Consider the following 19844-nt stretch of genomic DNA (forward strand, 5'->3'; position numbering starts at 1 on the left):
TTTTATATGTCAAATTGGCTAGGACACAGTGCCCAAATATTGGTCAGGCATTACTGTGAATGTTTGGCAAGAGTGTTTTTCGACGATTTTACATTTAAATCACAGGACTTTGAGTAAAGCAGATTACCCTCCATAATGTGAATGGCCCTCATCCACTTATGTGAAGGCCTGAATAGAACAAAAGGCTGACCTCCCCCAGGGCAAAAGGGAATTCTCCAGCAGACTGCCTTCAGATTTTATCTGCAACATCTGCTCTTCCTGGTTCCACAGCAGACTGCCTTTGGACTCGAACTGCAGCTCCCTCTCTCCCTCTTGAGTCTCCAGCCTGCTGGCTTCCCCAACTTATTTTGGAATCACACAGTTTCCACAATCACATAGCCAATTTTTAAAAATATACCTGTTTCTTTGGAGAACCCTGACTAATACATTACCCTGCATGCCTTCCTACCTTCCTCCAAAGTTGTGAATTGTTCACTGCCCAGTTGGGCTCCCAGACAAGCAAGGTTCACTTGGTGGGTAAGGCAGATGAAGGGTGCATGTCCCTAACCCATAGTCAAGCTTCTTGGTCATTTCAGAAGTAATGGACTGTTTCAAAAGGAGACCATTGTATAATCCTTTTTATTTACTCCCCTGAAGCAGAAATTGTAAACCCATGACTATATCCAATTATAACTCTCATTCAGAATATTAAAACTTGTTTTTCTTTGTTCTTTAGTGAAAACACAGGCAATGTCCCAGCACAATTCCTAACAAACAGGCTTTCGGTATGAGACACTGGGGAATTTGCCTCTTCTCCATCTTTGCTGTCTTCTTTCTTTCTTTCTCTCTTTCTCTCTCTCTCTTTCTTTTTTTTTTTTTTTTTGACAGAGTCTCGCTTTGTTGCCCAGGCTGGAGTGCAGTGGCATGATCTTGGCTCACTGCAACCTCTGCCTCACAGGCTCAAGCAATTCTCATGGCTCAGTCTCCTGGGTAGCTGGGACTACAGGCACCCATCACCACAACCGGCTAATTTTTTTTTTTTTTTTTAGTGGAGACGGGGTTTCACCATGTTGGCCAGGCTGGTCTCGAGCTCCTGACCTCAAGTGATCCACCCACCTTAGCCTCCCAAAGTGCTGGGATTACAGGTGTGAGCCACCACCACCACCAGCCATCTGTAATCTATCTTTCTTAAAAATGAAACAAATATGGGCCAGGCACAGTGGCTCACACCTGTAATCCCAGCACTTTGGGAGGCTGAGGCAGGTGGATCACGAGGTCAGGAGTTCGAGAATAGCCTGGCCAACATAGTGAAACCCTGTCTCTACTAAAAATACAAAAATCAGCCAGATGTGGTAGCACACACCTGTAATCCCAGCTACTTGGGAGGCTGAGGCAGGAGAATCGCTTGAACCCAGGAGGCAGAGGTTGCAGTGAGCTGAGACGGCACCATTGCACTCTAGCCTGGATGACAGAGCAAGACTCTGTCTCAGGAAAAAAAAGAGGAAACAAATATGTATATAACTGACTCAAGAACAGTAGACAACAGTCACAATATTTTAATTTTATCTTTCTCTGGGGGCAAGGGGTGGAGAATGGTCCTAATGTCATCCCAAAACAAGATCTTTTTTCCAAAATAGTCAATCTTCTCAACACCATTGGGTCTGTAATGCTTCCTTTATCTTGAACTAAATTCTAATAAATACATAGTACTATTTCCAACATCTCCCTTCTACTCTATTGATAAGTGTGACTTTTTTTGCACCATACCAGACAGCTTTAATTATTGTAGTGATTAAATTTAGTTTCACAGGTGGTTAATAAAGCCCTGACTTTATTGCTTTTCTCTCTCAAACCATTTTTACTATTTATATGTGTGATTTCCCAGATGAACTTTAAAAGTCATTTTTTCAAGGTCCAAGAAAATTTCCATTTGGGATTTTAATTGGACTTGTGCTAAACATATAAATTAAATGGGGAAGAGTTGGAATCTTTAGCATAGTCAGTCTTTCCACTAATAAATATGCCATTTATTCCATTTTTATTTAATGTAGCTCAATAAAACCTCCTAGTTTTCTAGGCTTCAGCTCTATACATTTCTTGTTGATACTCTCCTTTAGCAGAGCATATTATGCTTATAATTTGTCTTGTTATGAGATATGCCCCCAATCCCTATATGAAATTTGGAGCTATGGATTCTGCTCTCAAAGAGTTTAAACTCTAGAAGGATGTTAAGTAGCAGAATATACACCAGGTACATCTTCAGTTGACAGCTCAGCCACCAGAAAATCACTCCACTCTTTTCCTCTGGCCACTACTTCCTTCCTATCCTATTGTTACGATAAAGGAGTTCCTGGCAGCTCTGTCACCTAACAGCTGACTGGACTGTGAATGGGCACCTGTCCCAAAATGATACAATGAATTCTTTCCCTGGGACTTTAAAATTAAGAGATCACCACCTCGTCTGCCTCTAGGTGACCAGATTGGTAACATGGACACACTGGAGCTACTGGTGCCATGCTTTTCCACATGGATACCAGATAAAGGGAAGAAATGAATCTGTACAAAGAAAGAGACCAACAAAGTAGACACAGAGAGAAGAGAAGTAAGCATCTGAGAGAAATACCCAGCAATGTTTGAGTCTCCAATTTTGACTCTTTTCAGACGTTCAGCTACATTCCTGCCCTTGAGCTCTCAGAAAAGTCCCAAAAAAAGGCCTCTTTTTTTTTTTCTGACTCAGGCTAGCTGTAGTTTATGTTACTACAACCAAAAGAGCATTCCTAATACAGAGAGAAGGTAGGCAGGATCCATGTTTCATGGGTTTTCAGGCTCCAGACCTAAAAATTCAAACCCAGAAGAGACAGAAAGGCTAGAAGAGGGCAGACAGACATTGGGAAAAGTCTAGAGAAGAAACAGGCTAAAACAGCCCCAGGCTTTATTTGGCCATCACATTTACTGTACCTCCAGGTCTGTCTGCTCCTTCCATCACACTAGGAAAGGACTGAGCCCACACCAGGGAGGAAGACATTGATGTTAGATGAGTCTTCAGCAGAAAGTGAAACATCTTTCAGTCTCAGAGAAAACAACTACAGAATTTGTATGGTACTAGACAAAAATTTCCATCTTTAGCCTTCAAAGTTTCAGAAGTTCCAAAAACTCTACTATCCTTTGAGATGGAGTCTCCTTCTATCACCCAGGCTGGAGTGCAATGGCTCAATCTTGGCTCGCTGCAACTTCCATCTCCAGGCTCAAGCAATTCTCCAGCCTCAACCTCCCAAGTAGCTGAGACTACAGGCACATGCCACCACACCTGCTAATTTTTGTATTTTTTGTAGAGATGGGGTTTCACCATGTTGGCCAGGCTGGTCTTGAACTCCTGACCTCAGGTGATTTGCCCACCTCGGCCTCCCAAGGTGCTGGAATTATGGGCGTGAGCCACCAGGCCTGGTCTCTATTATCCCTTTAGGGTTGGATAGCTGAGCTGGAAGGAAGAAGTGAAGCAAAAGGAGGAGGAACCTGAGAGATGGGGGTGATGGCAAAGTCTAGGGAATACACTTTACCAGCCAGCATGTGGTTTGTCCTGCTCTTTTGTCCCTCTGCTACAAGATCGGCCGTGTCCTAAATGGAAGCTGCTCTGTCAATCTGAACATCAGAGTGAAGATGACATGGAGAGAGGCAGCAGCTGGCTCATTACAGACATGTATAATATTATGAGCATGTAGCTTTTGTAGAACTAGAGGTCTTTTGTTGTCACCACATAATCTGTCCAGTCCTGACATACACACAACTTGCTCTGAGGGTGTGAGTTCTATAAAGGCAGACCATGTCATATTTGATTTGTACCCCCGGCACCCAGCACAATGCTAAGCACACAATAAATACTCAAGTAATATTGGATGAATGAAGCCTTTCTAGACTTCATCTGTACAATAAAGAAGTTGGAGTAGATGTACTACAGGGTATCTTCAAAGGCTAGCATGCCATGATTTCTATAATTTCAGAAATAAAAGGTTCTGTTTCCTTCTGAAACACCCACATGCCAAAGTCTCATTTCAGCCTGAATTCCTTGCTCTTCTAAGAAAAAGCCTTTGTACATGGCTGTATATGCTTACAGGATTGCAAGAACTGCTTAAGGTTTTAAAATCCAGACTATACAGGCAAGAAATTAAATACTAAGAACACCTTATCTGTCTCTGAGTATTGTGACCCTGAGTGATGTCTCCAATCCCTACCCACTGTTGCTGCTGACTTGGGCAAGTATACCTGCTGTTCAAAGACCATCTGAAATTACCTCTAAGAAGGAATTGCTTTGAAAATGAAGCTTATAATTAAACAGCAATTGAAGTTTCCTGTGGTTTTATGCCCGGGTCTTATCTAATGCCTAAGTAGATAAACTGCATGGCTTAAAAATCAGAAAAGAACTGGATGTTTGTACAAGTGACAGGAGGTCTCCACTCAGCAATCTTGCTTCTTTAGGACCCAACTTTATTTCCAGCACTATTGTCAAAACACGTCCACAACACTGACATCAGCTCAGCCCTGCAGAAGTAACTACAAGAGAACCAAGGAACATTAGAGCTAAAATGAATCTTACCTAGCACCTCATTCAAAGTCTTTGTTTCATTAAGAAGTTGAAACACAGGAAGGTAAAGTTATTTTCCTAGGGTCACCACCATAAGAGGGGATAATCAAAGGACTTAGGAGGTAAAACTATAATGACTTGGGTGACTTACTGGACGTAGGCTGTTAGGGAGAGAAAGGAGTAGAGAACAATTGCAAATATTCTCAGTTGGCAAATGGAAGGAATGATGAGGTTGGGTTTGGAACATAATCCCAAAGGACACAATCCCAAACCCCACAATCCCTAATGTTGAAATCCCCATAGATCAAAATCACTAAAGTCTAAATCCCTGAAGTCTAAAGTCCCTAGCAAGTGTGAGGTGTCTGCATACCATCCAGATTAGAGATATCAAGCAGACAGTTGGATATTATAGATTTGGGGCTGAGGGAAAATGACAAAGCTAAAGAGAGAGTTTTGGGAGTCATCAGCCTATTCAGGCTGTTCGAGGCTATTACAGAATGAGAAGAAAGAGAAGAGAAATCAAGAAAGGGGAGAAGCAAGAATAGAACCCACAGAACATCAGTATCTAAGGGGTTTGTTAAAATAAAAAATAAATAAAATAGGAGTTTATAAAGTAGCCTACAAATAAGTGACCAGGGAGATAGGAAGAAAACTAGGATAGAATGGTGTCAGTAAAAGAAACGGTTTTAAGAAGGGAAAACTTTTCAATAATTGTAACACACGTAGCGAGCTGCTTCCCCAGTATTTAAAAGGAGCAGTATGCTGCTCCTTTTAAACAAAACCCTTTTTTCAGACCATCAGTGGATCTGGTAAATAAATAAACAACAATTTCCCAGGTACCTTTGTATCCCAAAGCTCATCCATCTCTGGTCAATTACAGGCAGATGCCTATCTACTTGGGGGGGCTGCCAGGAAAATTATTATTGTCCTCATACAAGTGGCCAAAGAACTGGCACCTCACTTTTACCCTTTGCATTTTCTCCTTTCTTCCCTCCTAAATGATTCTATGCCTAAAGGTGCAGCAGCTGTCTAATGGTCATGAGTACAAAAGATACAAAATAGATGATGGAGAGGAAAATGAGAAGGATCTGCTTCCTGATCCACCCCTTTGAAAGTGAGAAAGTTGGGAGTTGACCTTGGCTCCTCCCTTCATCTCACTTCACTGTGCTCCAAGACACTTCACTCAACCCTTAAATACCCTCAGATCTGCTTCCTTCCAACTCCTCTACCAGCCCGACATTGTTAAGGCCACATCATGTCTTGCCCGGCTTACTGAACTTCTCAGCTTACTGAACAAGACTCCCGGCTTCCAGACTTACCAGCTCCAACCTATGCTCTCACCTGCCGCCCCTTTCAGTCAAACTGGAATGTTTTTGTATTGATCTTTGCTTAAAATACATCAAGCGTTCTTCATTGCCTAGTGGATAAAAAGTCCTTAGTCTCACAGCCTTTATGATTTGTTTGGCTCCTGTCATACATGATGAAGACACTAATTATGATGACAAATATATATACATATACATGTGTACGTGTGTGCATGTGTGTGTAATTTTTGTACACAGACTATGTACCAAGCATTGTGCTAGGAACTTTACGTTTATTTAATCCTCACAATGTTTCCTCATATATTTGGTATTAATCTCATTTTACAGATAGGACGACTGATTCTCAGAGAGGTTAAGTCACTTGCCCAGGAATATACAGCTAGTTTAACTGGGGAAGGCCTGGATGTGAAAATTCTTTCCAGTAAATCAGTGTCTTGACATGAAAGCATGTACCGCTCATCAACCTGTTCTCCACCGCCCTCCTCTATCCTAAATGGGCAGCCCTGTTGAAGAATCACAGCCAAAGCCAGTCTTGCCCCCCGGGGCCAGAGGAATCCATCTGCCCCTGCCTACCAGAGCGGGAGGAACGCAGGCTCTCAATGCCTGCTTCAGCAAGGGAGGAGAGAATCGCCCAGAGCTGAGCGGCGTCGTAGGGTGGTGGTCCTGACCGGTCAAGGCCCCTTCTCCTCGTGAACTGGGGGCCAGGGAGCCCTTCTCCCTGTCCCCCCGGCACCACAGCGCTGTAGAAGTGAAATCCCGGCTCCAAGGTCACCCTCTCCCGAGCCTGGAGCTGGAAAGCCACGGGGACTCCGGGGACTCCCCCAAGGCCCGGACTAGCCTGGCACCCACCCCTCACCACTAACCCACTCCGCCTGGGCGCTGGTTCTGTGCGCTCCCGCGGCGCAGTCGCTCCGCTGCAAGAGCGCTTTCGCGCGCCGCCACCGCCCAGAGCCGGGACCAAAGCAGTCCTCGGGCACCGGCTCCCCGAGGGACACACACCCCCCCGCGCCCCGAGTCGAGGGGTTGAGAGAAGGGCGGTCGGGGAGCCCCTGGGCCTGCCGTCAGTCACCCGGATTTGTAACTGGAGAAGGGTGCGGGTCCCGGAGGGACATCTCCAGCTGGCACCTAACTCCTCGGATCCCGGACTGGGAGCCCGAGCTCGGATATTGCAACGGCTGCCCCGTGGGCAAACCGACCCTGGTTTCCGACTCCGGCCACTGGCAGCCTCGCGCCCCAGACCCTTCCCGGGCACGGAAGCGGGTCAGGTCGCCCTGCTCAGCCTCCGGAACGGCGGCGGCACAAACCCCGGCCGCTCCCAGCAGCCCCGACGAGACCCCGGGCAGCGCCTGCCGCCGGGTGGCCTCCCTCTGGGGCTGACCCCCTCGCGCCCCCGCGCGTCTGTCTGCGTTTCTGAGCCTGCTCTGACAGTGATGTAACAAGGCCAGGCTCGCGCCGCGTCCCCTCTTTCCCAGACTCAGTGCTCCCTCCTCCTCCCGCGCCCCGCGCTCTGCGCGCTGAGCTGGCGCCGGGCTCCGCTTGCACAGCACCGGGACCGACGGGCACTGCTGGGAGAGCCGCTCTCCCAGGTTCCACCTCCCCGATGCAGAGTCCGTGGGGGAAACCAGGCTTTCCTCCCAGAACCAAGGGAGCGAGCCGAGGGGGCAGCTGCTGTGGGGGCTTCTGAGGAGACAGCCTGGCTTCTTTCCCTACTTCCTGGAGAGGGCAGGAAACCTCAGGTACCTCGTTGACCCCAGCCGGAGCGTGTTGATATGAGAGAGAGACGGAGGTTGCAATAGTGAGAGGAAGAGAGGGAGGGCACAAGAAAGGGAGGGAGGGAGAGGGGACGGAGAGAAAGAGTAGAAATAGAAACAGGGAGAGATTGCAAGAGAAACGCAGAGAGAGAGATAGAGAGATTGCAAGAGAGATACAGAGACAGAGATCAAGACTGAAAGTCAAGAAGCAAGTCGGAGACAAAGGGCAAGAGAAAGACAAGAGTTGATGGGTGGGAGCTTGACTTGGATTTTTTTTTAACGCACTGTGGTTTCATCTCTGACAGAATAGAGGAACGCTGCTCCCTGGTCAGCAAGCAGCCCCCAACCTGGATGGAGTGAAACATGCGGCCTGATGACATTAACCCGAGGACTGGGCTGGTGGTGGCCCTGGTCAGTGTCTTCCTCGTCTTTGGTTTCATGTTCACCGTCTCTGGGATGAAAGGGGAGACTTTGGGAAACATCCCCCTCCTGGCCATCGGGCCAGCCATCTGCCTACCAGGCATCGCAGCCATTGCCCTGGCCAGGAAAACCGAGGGATGCACCAAGTGGCCAGAGAACGAGCTGCTGTGGGTCCGCAAATTGCCCTGCTTCCGGAAACCCAAAGACAAGGAGGTGGTAGAGCTGCTGAGGACCCCTTCAGACCTAGAATCCGGCAAGGGGAGCTCAGATGAGCTGGCTAAGAAGGCGGGCCTCAGGGGGAAGCCTCCCCCACAAAGCCAGGGTGAGGTGTCCGTGGCCAGCTCCATCAACAGCCCCACACCCACGGAGGAAGGAGAATGCCAGAGCCTCGTCCAGAATGGGCATCAGGAGGAGACGTCCAGATACCTGGACGGCTACTGCCCCTCGGGCAGTTCCCTCACCTACAGTGCCTTGGACGTCAAGTGCTCAGCAAGGGACAGATCTGAGTGCCCTGAGCCTGAGGATAGCATCTTCTTTGTGCCCCAGGACAGTATCATCGTTTGCTCCTACAAGCAGAACAGCCCGTATGACAGATACTGTTGTTATATCAATCAGATACAAGGCAGGTGGGACCACGAGACCATCGTCTAATCTCTGCCTACAAAGGTGGCTGGATTGATAGAATATGACTAAGCCCAGCTCCCCGTGGAAGCAAATTGCTCTGCTTGGAGAGCCTTCACACTGTTAGAAATTGACCTGGTATGTGATGGGTGTGATAACCTCTGGTACCCGAGAGTCATGTAAATAGGCATGTTGGGGACACATTTTAGGGAAGGGCGATGAGGGTTAAGGACACTGGAAGAGGCAGTGGGTAGGAAAGGAAGCTACTCCAGTTGCTTCTTAACAATTTACACAATGTTAAATGTTTTGTAAAATAACCCAAAAAGTGCTATCCAGAACCAGCTGAGAGCAAGATAAATCTAGAGTGGGCTGCAGATGTGAGGCATCAAATGATGCATGAGCTGACCACAGGGAAACTGAGCTGCTTTATGTTTGAATAAGTTGAAAATAAAATTAATGATCCGTTATATAAAGTAATTTTTGCCTGGTTAAAAGCTTATCACACTTGGTATTTGCTGAAAGAAAAAAAAATCAAGATACAAGAGTTAAACCCTCCTTAGATGGGATGGTTTTTGGGAAAAGGGTAGTTAAAGAGAGTTGGATTATGTAACTGAGTCTTGTGGCATTATTGTCTGACAAGATCATGGTCTCTAATAAAGTAAAATAAGTGTGAGCAGCTATGTGAAAAGTTAACATTTTTAGATGGCTATGTTACTTCTTAAACTCTTCGTTTAAATCCATTTATTGCATCTTTATCTGAAATGGGTTTTTTCTAAACATTTACTATCATTCATGTATTATTTCCTTACCAGGTGCAACATTATTTGAAATGATACTTTCATAGATTGGAATTTGTTTTCATCAAGACAAAATGAATTTTACATATATATCCAAGTCTTTAACATTGGCAGACATGTACTGATAATTACCATTCCTACATACCTTTTAAAATCTGAAAACTATAAAGTCTACACATTAGCCTTGAACATTGCACATAATTTGTATGAAATGCAATGGTTAAACCTTTGGAAGTGTCATTATTTGTACATTTGTTCAACTCCTCTCACAGACTGTAAATGCCAGTGAAACAAGAACTCATCTACTAAATTTAACTGAAGCCTAGATTTTATTAAGCTCACCTGATCAGTGAACATTACATGATAAAAGTCTCTTTATTTCATACATTTTTGCTGCTGAGGAAAACAACAAATCACAATGATATCCTAAAATGTGCTTTCTATTTCACTTGCTCAACTGCAATAGATAAGAAGGCTATCAAGCAGAATGCCATTTGATCCCCGGTGAAGAAAAATATGAATTATATATAGGAATGGTGATAGAGTTCATCTTGAAGATCAGAAGTATTTTGTATCCTTCAAAGAATGATCATTTTAAGTGATCATATAGTCTTAGTCACTTTCTCCCAAAAGGGGAATTGAGGACAAAAATTTGGGCATATATGTTTTGTGTATTTCAATTCCAACTCTGCAATTCTTTCTTAAGTATAGCAATTGTTCTGTCTTAAGAATCATGGTATTTTTAAAAAATCATAATTTTCAAGTCAAGTTCAAGATCAAAAATATGTAATTATTTTAGTAGGGCTTAAATATCAGAAATGAGATGCATGATCTTGGGCAAATTTTATCTTCTTACACCTGAGTTTCCTACTCTGTGAAGGGAGGGGGAACTGATTTACACTTGATTATTTCTATCATTCATTTTCAGTGTAAATATTCTATGGTGTTATGTCAAAGGCATTTTATATATTGCCAGGAAATGAGTTACAGCAAAATGCATGCCAAAGTTATGAAATTTATGATAATTATGTGACATACATTGCACAGCTACTACTCAAAAAAGAATTTTGTAGATGTATGAAAGCAGATTATTCAACACAATGCATTCCTGAGAATAAAATGAACATAATCAGAGTAAAATATTTTTGAGGAGAAAACTTAAAATGTTGGTATAACTCAAAGTAATCTAATACACAACCTTGCACTAAATGTGATTGACATTTGGATTTGGGATGGGGAGAGATAGTTTCCTAAAATCACAGTAACTTTTAATAATTGTAATGCATTTTGAAAACAGAGAATCATATTTTTATAATGGTGAGAACTATGCAATAACTCTTTAGGAATGAAAACTTCCTTTAAGAAGTTTGCCACCGTTAGAGATGAGGAGATAGTGAGACAGAGAGATGTTCACAGAGACTCAGCAAATCTTAGACAATAATGCTGCAATTTTCTGAAAGAAGATGCTTGCAGTGTCAGGTATGGTTTGGGGGTTGGAAAAGTTACTTTTCTGATTTCTTGGAACCATTTAAAACTCCTTTATATCATTCTGTCTCTTTCCAAATTGAGGGTCAACTACTAGTTTAGAGATATAAGGTATTTTATCTTGTTTTCAAGTTCTACTTCAGAAGAAAACCTATTTCATGTTTCTTCTCCCATTACCTACTTAAGATACTTAAGGTATTTAAGTATGCATTTGAGGAAATATTTTCCTGTGCTAAAATAAAGGTTTGCAAATGTTGGTGTGAGAGGTTTTAACTTTGACCAGTGAGAATAAAATGTATGATTGTGTGTGTGAATTTCTCCTAACATATTAACCAACTCCTTTCTATATGCAACAAGGTAACCTGGTGCCCCAAATCAATACTTGTAAGTACTATTCAGAGTTAAACTTCCAAAGTCAAAAAATATATATACACAAAAAAAGGGGAAAAGCCACATTTTTTTGAACAGAGGTAGAAGAGAAAGAGAAAAAAAGTGTCTCAGCCCTTTAGAGGAAAAGAGAGCAACTCATTCTGATGAGTTACACAGTTTTAGCAAATTGTTCTTATCAATATAATAGACATGAGGATTGTTCCTGGTAGCCTTCAAGAGCTCCTAGACAGATATAAATTTAAGTAGACATTACTTTATTTTGCTGTTAATCCAAGTAGACATTGCGACTTGATTCTGAATAGGCATTTTATTTTCAAAATTTTTCTACTGAATTTCTCTTGCTCTGTATGCCTACTTATTGTGCACATGGGTTGTTTTTCCAAACTGCTTCTTGATTCTTAAGTGAGAATTCAGACATGATACTCAAACGAGAGCATATTAGACATCTGTTTTAAGATTTATTTTCTGTTGCAGTCATCTTGGCAAACAAAATCCAGATACAGTTAAGTTCAGGCTCTCTTCCAAACCCTGCTAAGCAGCTGCTTTGAAAATGTTTTCAATACTATGGATCTTAATATCCACTGAGATGACAAATGTAGGAAAGGAAGATTCATTCTGTTAAATGTTTTTTCTCTTTTGCAATGTCCAAGCTCTACTTATTTATTAATAGCCTCCCTCTGTACCCATAACATCATTTATTTGGTGAATTCACTGTTATTAATACTAGTATTTTATCACAGTAAAGAAAAGGTTTCTGAAAACCCACAACCTCACTATCCTAAAGCAACTACTGTGTTTCTATTTTGGTATATCATCTTCCAGGCTTCCTCCACATGCAAATGCAGCATACATATTATAATAGTGTGTTTTTCTTTTCTCTTTGAATTATATTCCATGCATGTTTCCATGTTTCTATGTAGTATTTCTAATTATCAATGAACGATTGTGTAATATGCCATTTTAGTGATGTTCCATAATTTATCATGCCATTCCTTATTGCTGGCAAGATACTAAGTTTTATGGATGATTTTGTATGTTTTTTTCCTATTGCTGGTTACACTGCTATATTATTTGTTATATGCCAATAGAGAGGAACTTTACTATTGAACAGGTATCTCCTTGTGGATGAGAGAGAGGAGGCAGAAATGTGTAAATGAATGGAACTCTCCATATTGTTGTGTGGGTCTTCCCTTCACTCTTGTGGATATAAGACCCAGGGTGGGAAACAAAACGATGCTTCTTCCAAAAGATCCTCCCATCAGGACCAGAACTAGTATGTTTAGGAGTAAGATGGAACATTTCCCCAGCTAAGATACCAGTGGTGTGTTTCTCACAATTAGATTACAGTGGTGTCAGTCTTCAAGAGCATCGTGTTCAACAAGCAAAATGATAAATAGATGTAAACAATAATAATGACTTTGTAATATGCCAAAAGCATTTTCTTAAAGTACCTCATCATATATTTTATAATAGATGTATTTCATATGTATATGTATTGTCGCCTATCAGTGACTTACAAATGAACTGGAATTTCAGGAATCTGATAGACTCTGCCCTTGAGTTTTCTGTGTTTCAGTTTCCTACTGGGAAAAACTAAACTGAGGATGGAAATGGGGACAAATGCTTGGTTTGCCCAAATATCTTAATAAAAGACTAGATTCCATTCAACCTCTTGTCCAGTTCACATAAAATCATGTAGACACCACTGAGTCTGAGACCATGACTTTGATTTCTCATGACCTACCGCAGGGTCCTCACTCTATGGGCACCCAACCAAAAGAAATGTGTACATGATGCTGCCCAGATACACAAACAGGCAGGCACTGATGTTAGATAGCCAGTCTTTGGCAAGTTGTTCCTGGGACTGACCCTTACTAGGGATTCTTTTTTTATTTTTCCCTTTATTCCTTCCCTGACCCCAGATTACAGCCTGCAGACTTGGTATTCTCGGTGATAGTACAAAGCTTTGCATGCTTTATCCCTAATAAGGTACAGAGTTACAAAATGAACCGATTACAAAACAGTACATAAAGCTATTAAAAATCTCCTGTGCTGCTCTTTGACAAATCTATCTTTAGAAAGTTGAACATAAAAGATAATTTTGCAATTAGTCACTTTCTTATTTTTCATGGTAATGAACTATTGTACATAAGACAACTCTTCAGTAGGAGGCCAGACCACATTTGTTTGAAAAAACTAGGCTTTTGAAAATCACCTGCCTGTATCTGAACATGAAAAGTATGGGCAATTATTTTCTTTCTTTCTTTCTTTCTTTTTTTGAGACAGGGCCTTGTTCTGTCATCCAGGCTGGAGTGCAGTGGCATGATCTTGGCTCACTGCAACCTCCATCTCCTAGGTTTCAAACGATTCTTCTGCCTCAGTCTCCCCAGTAGCTGGGATTACAGGCGCCTGCCACCAAACGGCAAATTTTTGTATTTTTAGTAGAGACGAGGTTTCACCATGTTGGCCAGGCTGGTCTCGAACTCCTGACCTCAGGTGATCCACCAGCCTCAGCCTCTCAAAATGCTAGGATTACAGGCGTGATCCTAGCACTGCACCTGGCCATTATTTTCTATATAAGTGATTAGACCACCAGACCAACTCAGAAAGGCCCACTCTGTTCCTCTGCTTTTCCGAACTACCTCCCATCCCCTGCGGGAGCTTCTTGAATATTCCTGATTGTGCCCTGCAGCTGACCACCCTAAGGCTTTGCCCCAACCATTTTCTGTGCCTCAAATGCCCTGTCTTCACCCCTCTGCTGCGTAAGGCCCTAACGTCCTTCAAGGAGAAGCTGCCACATCTTCCACCATCTTCTGGATTTTCCGACTCAGAACTAATCCTTCTATTATTCTCTGGCCTCACAACACCCTCCACCACTATCATCACACACATTAGTTGCATGGGTATCTGTCTCTCCAACTGTAGTGTGAGCTCCTTGAAGGCAGGGACCACATTTTATCCATCTTTCCAATCCCCTACTTCACCCCCTGACACACTCATTTATTCCATCTTGCTCAGTGAAAACTCTAAATTGCACCATTTAGGTCACCCTCAAAGCCTACTTTCTTTTTCAAGTTGAATATAGTCAGCAACAATATGGGTTAAAATTGGCTTCTGTGGGTTGGGACCCTAACTTTTATTTTAGTATATTGTTTCTTTGGGAAAACCACGTCTTATATAACAAGAAGAAAGAAAGAAATCCTTCCAGAACATTTTCCCCTACCTCCATGATTAACCTAACTTCCACTCCATGAGTCAGAGACTGCACCAAACACGTGATAAGAACTGGTGGTTCTAGGAGCATGTGACAACCATTGAATTCCTGACCAGAAATAAGGTGAATCAATGTACTCAGGTTAATCCTGCAAGTAGGTCAACAAAATATAATTCCTCAGCTTTGACTATTGTCCTTCTAATATGTTTTTTCACCAATAATTCTAAACAAGACCTTCAAGACGACCTGGATATTCTCTTGGGTCAATATTGAGGGGCTGAGGTGCAGACCCTCTCCCACCGCCCCCAGTGATGCTCCCCTTCTCCATGAAAGCTGTAAATACTCAGAGACCATGGTTTGTAATTCAGAGAAGTCCCGGCTTGTTCTGGAACAAGAGATAGCATTGTTCAGCAATTCCTGTGAGCAGAATTTGAGGCCAGTCTTAATAACTTCTGACCCATGTAATTTTTCCTGTGAATTTTCCCAACTATCTGACTAGGTAAAAATAGGATTTAATTGGAGTAACTCTTTATCTTGACTGTGGTGAATATCAGGGTCTCTTTTAACAATAGAAAGAAAGACCTCCTTTAAGTATGTATAGGAAAGGGAGCATAGGGAAAGAATGAGCAGAATTGTGGGCATGGGGAAAAGAGCCAACAATCCCTGATTAAGCCAGTCACTTTTGCGGCATCCACCCCCTCCATCCCCCTAGCGTTACCACTTCTCTTCTCTACTTTGGAAGCAAATGCTAGAAAATGGACTAAGAGGACAAACCAAACAGAAAATGTTTTAAAAACGTGAAGAGTAAAAGGAAAATGTTAGAGAATTTTAATATATTTTTAAATGGCTGTGAAAATAAATATGTACTTAATTTAAGTGTATATTCCAATAAGGGCAATATTTAGCTAGAAATATCCTGCTGGGCACAGTTAAATATAAAATAGTATCCAATAAATAAGATCAAATGGGTTCAAAAAACTATTCAACAATAGACTAAAAAGTATAATAAAAACTATGAAGCTAAATGAATATAAAGTGAATAAGACTAGCTGAAGTATTAGAAGGATAAAGACAGTAAAGTTAAATAATTTTAAATGCATAAAGTCAGCCAAAATTTTCCACTGAAAGAAGAATGGGGTATTAAATGCAAGCAACAATACAGAGGCCAGAACTAAGACCCCAGCAATGTGTTGCAGGCTGAGGCAAGAGCAAACAAGGGACACAGGTTGTGCTCAATTCTCCTCCCAGGCGAGATCCCCTCAAAGCAGGGTGTCACCCTTCAGGTTGCAAAAATTCAAGGCCCAAATGATTTTTTGGATATGACACCAAAAACACAGGCAACGAATGCAAAAATAGACAATGGGATTTCACCAAACTAAAATACTTATGCACAGAAAAGGAAACAATCTACAGAGTGAAGATAACCTAGGGAGTGGGAGAAATATTTGCAAGCCATACATCTGATAACAGGTGTATTAATCTGTTCTCACACTGCTAATAAAGACATACCCTAGATTGAGTAATTTATAAATGAAAGAGATTTAGTTGACTCACAGTTCCACATGGCTGGGGAGGCCTCACAATCATGGAGGAAAACAAAGGAAGGGCAAAGGGGATGTCTTATATGGCAGCAGTCAAGAGAGCATGTGCAGGGGAACTCCCCTTTATAAAACCATCACATCTTGTGAGGCTTATTCACTATCATGGGAACAGCACCGGAACAACCTGCCCCCATGATTCAATTACCTCCCCACCCCCAGGTCCATCCCACAACACATGGGTATTACTACAGTTCAAGGTGAGATTTGGGTGGGCACACAGAGCCAAACCACATAAACAGGTTAATATCCAAAATGTATCAGGAGCTCAAACAGCTCAATAGCAATAAAACAATCCAATTTTTAAATGGGCAAATGACTTGAATAGACATTTCTCCAAAGAAGACATCCAAATGACCAACAGGTATAAAATGCTTAAAATAATTAATCATAAAAGAAATACAAATTAAAGTCACAATAAGATATCACCTCACACCTGTTAAAATGGTTATTATCAAAAAGACAAAAGATAACAAGTGCTGGAGAGGATGTGGAGAAAAAGGAATCTTTGCACACAGTGGGTGGGAATGTAAATTAGTACAGTCATTGAGCTTCCTCAGAAAACTAAAAGTAGAATTACCATATAATCCAGCAATCCCACTACTGGATATATACACAAGCGATATGAAATCAGTATGTTGAAGTGATATCTGCACTCCCATATTTATTGCATCACCATTCACAATAGCCAACATATGAACCTAAATCTTCACTAACAGTTGAATGGATAAAGAAAGCATTGTATATTATACACAATGAAATATTCAGACTTTAAAAAGAAGGAAATTTTGTCATTTGTGACAATATGGATGAACCTGGAGGATGTCAACGCTAAGTGAAAAGATTCAGGCATGGTCTCATATGTGGAATCCAAAAAAGTTCAACTTATAGAAGTAGAGAGTAGAAGTGTGGTTACCAGAAGCTGGAGTAAGGGAATGAGGAGATGTTGGTGGATAGGTACAAAGTTTCAGTTAGACAAAAGGAGTAAGTTTTCCAAATCTATTGTAAAGTGTGGTGACCATAGTTAACAATAATGTATTGTATTTTCAACATTGCTGAAAGAATAGATCTTAAGTGTTCTCACTATAAAAACATAAGCATGTGAGATGATGTATTATGTTCCTTAGCTTGACATAATTATTGTACAATGTATACAGGTACCAAACCATCACTTTCTACCCCATAAGTATATAAAACTATTATCTGTCAATTAAAAATAAAAAGGTAATTTAAAACACATGTCTGAATATATCCCCAAAAGTTCATGCATTGGAAACTTAATTTCTAATGCAACAGTGTTGGGAGGTAGGGCCTTTTGGGAGGTATTTAGATCATGAGGGCTCCACCTCCATGAATAGAATAATACCATTATAAAAGGGCTTAGCAAAGGGAGTTTGGCCCTTTTTTGACCTCCCACCTTCTGCCATGTGAAGACATAGTGTTCCTTCACTCCAGAGGATGCAACTTTCAAGGCACCATCTTGGAAGCAGAGAACAGCCCTCACTAGATACTGGTGGCTTGATCTTGGACTTTCCAGCCTCCAGAACTGTGAGAAATGAATTTCTGGTTTTTGTAAATTACCCAGTATGTGGTATTCTATTATAGCAGCACCAAAAAAAAGACAAAGACAGGAACTGAGTGTACAGTATTCCATGGGGCTTTTCTGAAGACTAGCATTCAAATAACTATACTTTGTGAAGTCTTCCCCCAATTCCCAAATCTAGAAGCATCAATCAGAGAAGTCAAATTTCCAGAAGTCAGAAAGATTGAAGTATCAAAAGAAAGAAGAAAAAGTTACGTAACCCCCAGAATTACCCTTATTTTCTTGGCCCTCGTCATTCACTGCGTAGCAATCTCTCAATAAACCCCTCTTCCCTCAGCAGGGAGACTTGAATGATCAGAAAAAATATATATCTGCTGGACATATTTTGCTTCCAGATGTTAGATTTTGAGGTTCCCAACTTTACCCAACAATAGTTGCTAGGTCCTGCCTTCACTGTAGGTACAAAAATTGGTATGGACTTTTTATAAGAGTTCTAAGAAGGTTTATAATGCATATTTAATATCTCAAGGAACCAGCAACCCATTGGAAAACATAACCCTTGCCTTCCCTAGTCCTACCCTACAAGACCTTGAATGAGCATTCTTAGCCCTACCCAAGGCCTAAGCAAATATCATTAAGGTAGGCCAGTAGTTCTCAAGCCCTAGCATACATCAGAATCACCTGTAGGGCTTGTTGGAATACAGAATGCTGGGGCCATCTCCAGAATTTCCATTTCTAAAAAAATTATCAGGTTATACCAATGATATGGGTCCCAAGTCTCCTTCAATTTGTGCATGTGTACTTTTTAAAAGGTGAGATCTGGCTATGTTGCCCAGGATAAAATTTACAGGCATGATCTACAGCCTCAAACTGCTGGATTCAAGCAATCCTCCTACCTCATCCACCTGAGTAGCTGGAACAACAGGCATGCACTACCATGACCAGCTGCTTTTAAGTGGTTTTATATCCAGGAGTCTGGTATAGCCCCTAGTCCCAGCTATGCCCAAGCAGCAGCATTTGGATCTAATGTCTGGAACACAATAAACATTCAGTAAATAATTTAATTGAATTAATGAATGTATTAGTCTGTTTTTACACTGCTGATAAAGACATACCCAAGACTGGGCAATTTACAAAAGAAAGAGGTTTATTGGACTTACAGTTCCACATGGCTGGGGAGCCTCATAATCATGACAGAAGGTGAAAGACACATCTCGCGCAGGGCAGCAGACAAGAGAAGAGAGAGTTTGTGCAGGGAAACTACCCTTTTTAAAACCATCAGATCTCATGAGATTTATTCACTATCATGACAATAGCACAGGAAAGACGGGCCCCCATGATTCAATTGCCTCCCACCAGATCCCTCCCACTACGTGTGAGAATTCAAGATGAGATTTGGGTGGGGACACAGCCAAATCATATCATTCTGCCCCTGGACCCTCCCAAATCTCATGTCCTCACATTTCAAAACCAATCATGCCTTCCCAACAGTCCCCCAAAGTCTTAACTCATTTCAGCATTAACTTAAAAGTCCACAGTCAAAAGTCTCATCTGAGACAAGGTAAGTCCCTTCCACCTATGAGTCTGTAAAATCAAAAGCGAGTTAGTTACTTCCTAGATACAATGGGAGTAAAGGCATTGGGTAAATACAGCTGTTCCAAATGGGAGAAACTGGCTGAAACAAAGGGGCTACAGGTCCCATGCAAGTCAGAAATCCAGTGGGCAGTCAAATCTTAAAGCCCAAAAAAGAACTCCTCTGACACCATGTCTCATATCCAGGTCATGCTGATGCAAGAGGTGGGTTCCCATGGTCTTAGGCAGTCCACCCCTATGGCTTTGCAGGGTACAGCCTCCCTCCCAGCTGCTTTCATGGGCTGGCATTGAGTGTCTGCTGCTTTTCCAAGCACACAGTGCAAGCTGGCAGTGGATCTACCATTATGGTGTCTGGAGGACGGTGGCCCTCTTCTCACAGCCCCACTAGGTGGTGCCCCAGTAGGAATTCTATGTTGGGGCTCCAACCCCACATTTTCCTTCCACACTGCCCTATCAGAAGTTCTTCATGAGGGCCCCACCCCTGCAACAAACTTCTACCTGGGCATCCAGGCGTTTCCATACATCTCCTGAAATGTAGGCAGAGGTTCC

General features: G+C 42.2%; 1 protein-coding gene and 1 long non-coding RNA gene across 8 annotated transcripts in view; one reads left to right on the forward strand and one right to left on the reverse strand.

Moving 5' to 3' along the window:
• The window catches only part of LOC105376017 (uncharacterized), a 104021-nt gene extending 96900 nt beyond the window's left edge, over positions 1–7121 (reverse strand). For 4 of the 6 annotated variants that reach the window (XR_929559.2, XR_007061451.1, XR_929556.3 and 1 more), the window contains exon 1: positions 6457–6720. This is a non-coding gene — a long non-coding RNA (uncharacterized LOC105376017). Of the gene's footprint in view, positions 1–5877; positions 6002–6456; positions 6721–6952 lie in introns of those variants that run through there. The other 2 variants (XR_929558.3, XR_929557.3) reach the window with 2 other exon arrangements.
• Positions 7122–7353: 232 nt separating this feature from the next.
• On the forward strand, positions 7354–13015 carry TMEM215 (transmembrane protein 215). Of its 2 annotated transcripts, XR_929252.2 has the most exons (3): positions 7354–7619; positions 7940–8813; positions 9939–13015. XR_929252.2 is itself a non-coding variant. In NM_212558.3 (2 exons), exon 2 carries the CDS (start codon positions 7998–8000, stop codon positions 8703–8705), a length of 708 nt encoding a protein of 235 aa, NP_997723.2. In that variant the 5' UTR covers positions 7354–7619; positions 7940–7997; the 3' UTR covers positions 8706–13015. The 2 variants fall into 2 exon arrangements, 1 of the variants encoding a protein (NP_997723.2); NM_212558.3 differs by having other exon boundaries at positions 7940–13015.
• The last annotated feature ends 6829 nt before the right edge of the window (positions 13016–19844 follow it).

This window comes from Homo sapiens, chromosome 9, assembly GCF_000001405.40.
Source record: "Homo sapiens chromosome 9, GRCh38.p14 Primary Assembly".
NCBI classification, from domain to species: domain Eukaryota; kingdom Metazoa; phylum Chordata; class Mammalia; order Primates; family Hominidae; genus Homo; species Homo sapiens.

Coding starts and splice junctions, on each gene's coding strand:
- TMEM215 (NM_212558.3), top strand. CDS start 7,998: ATGCGGCCTGATGACATTAACCCGAGGACTGGGCTGGTGGTGGCCCTG.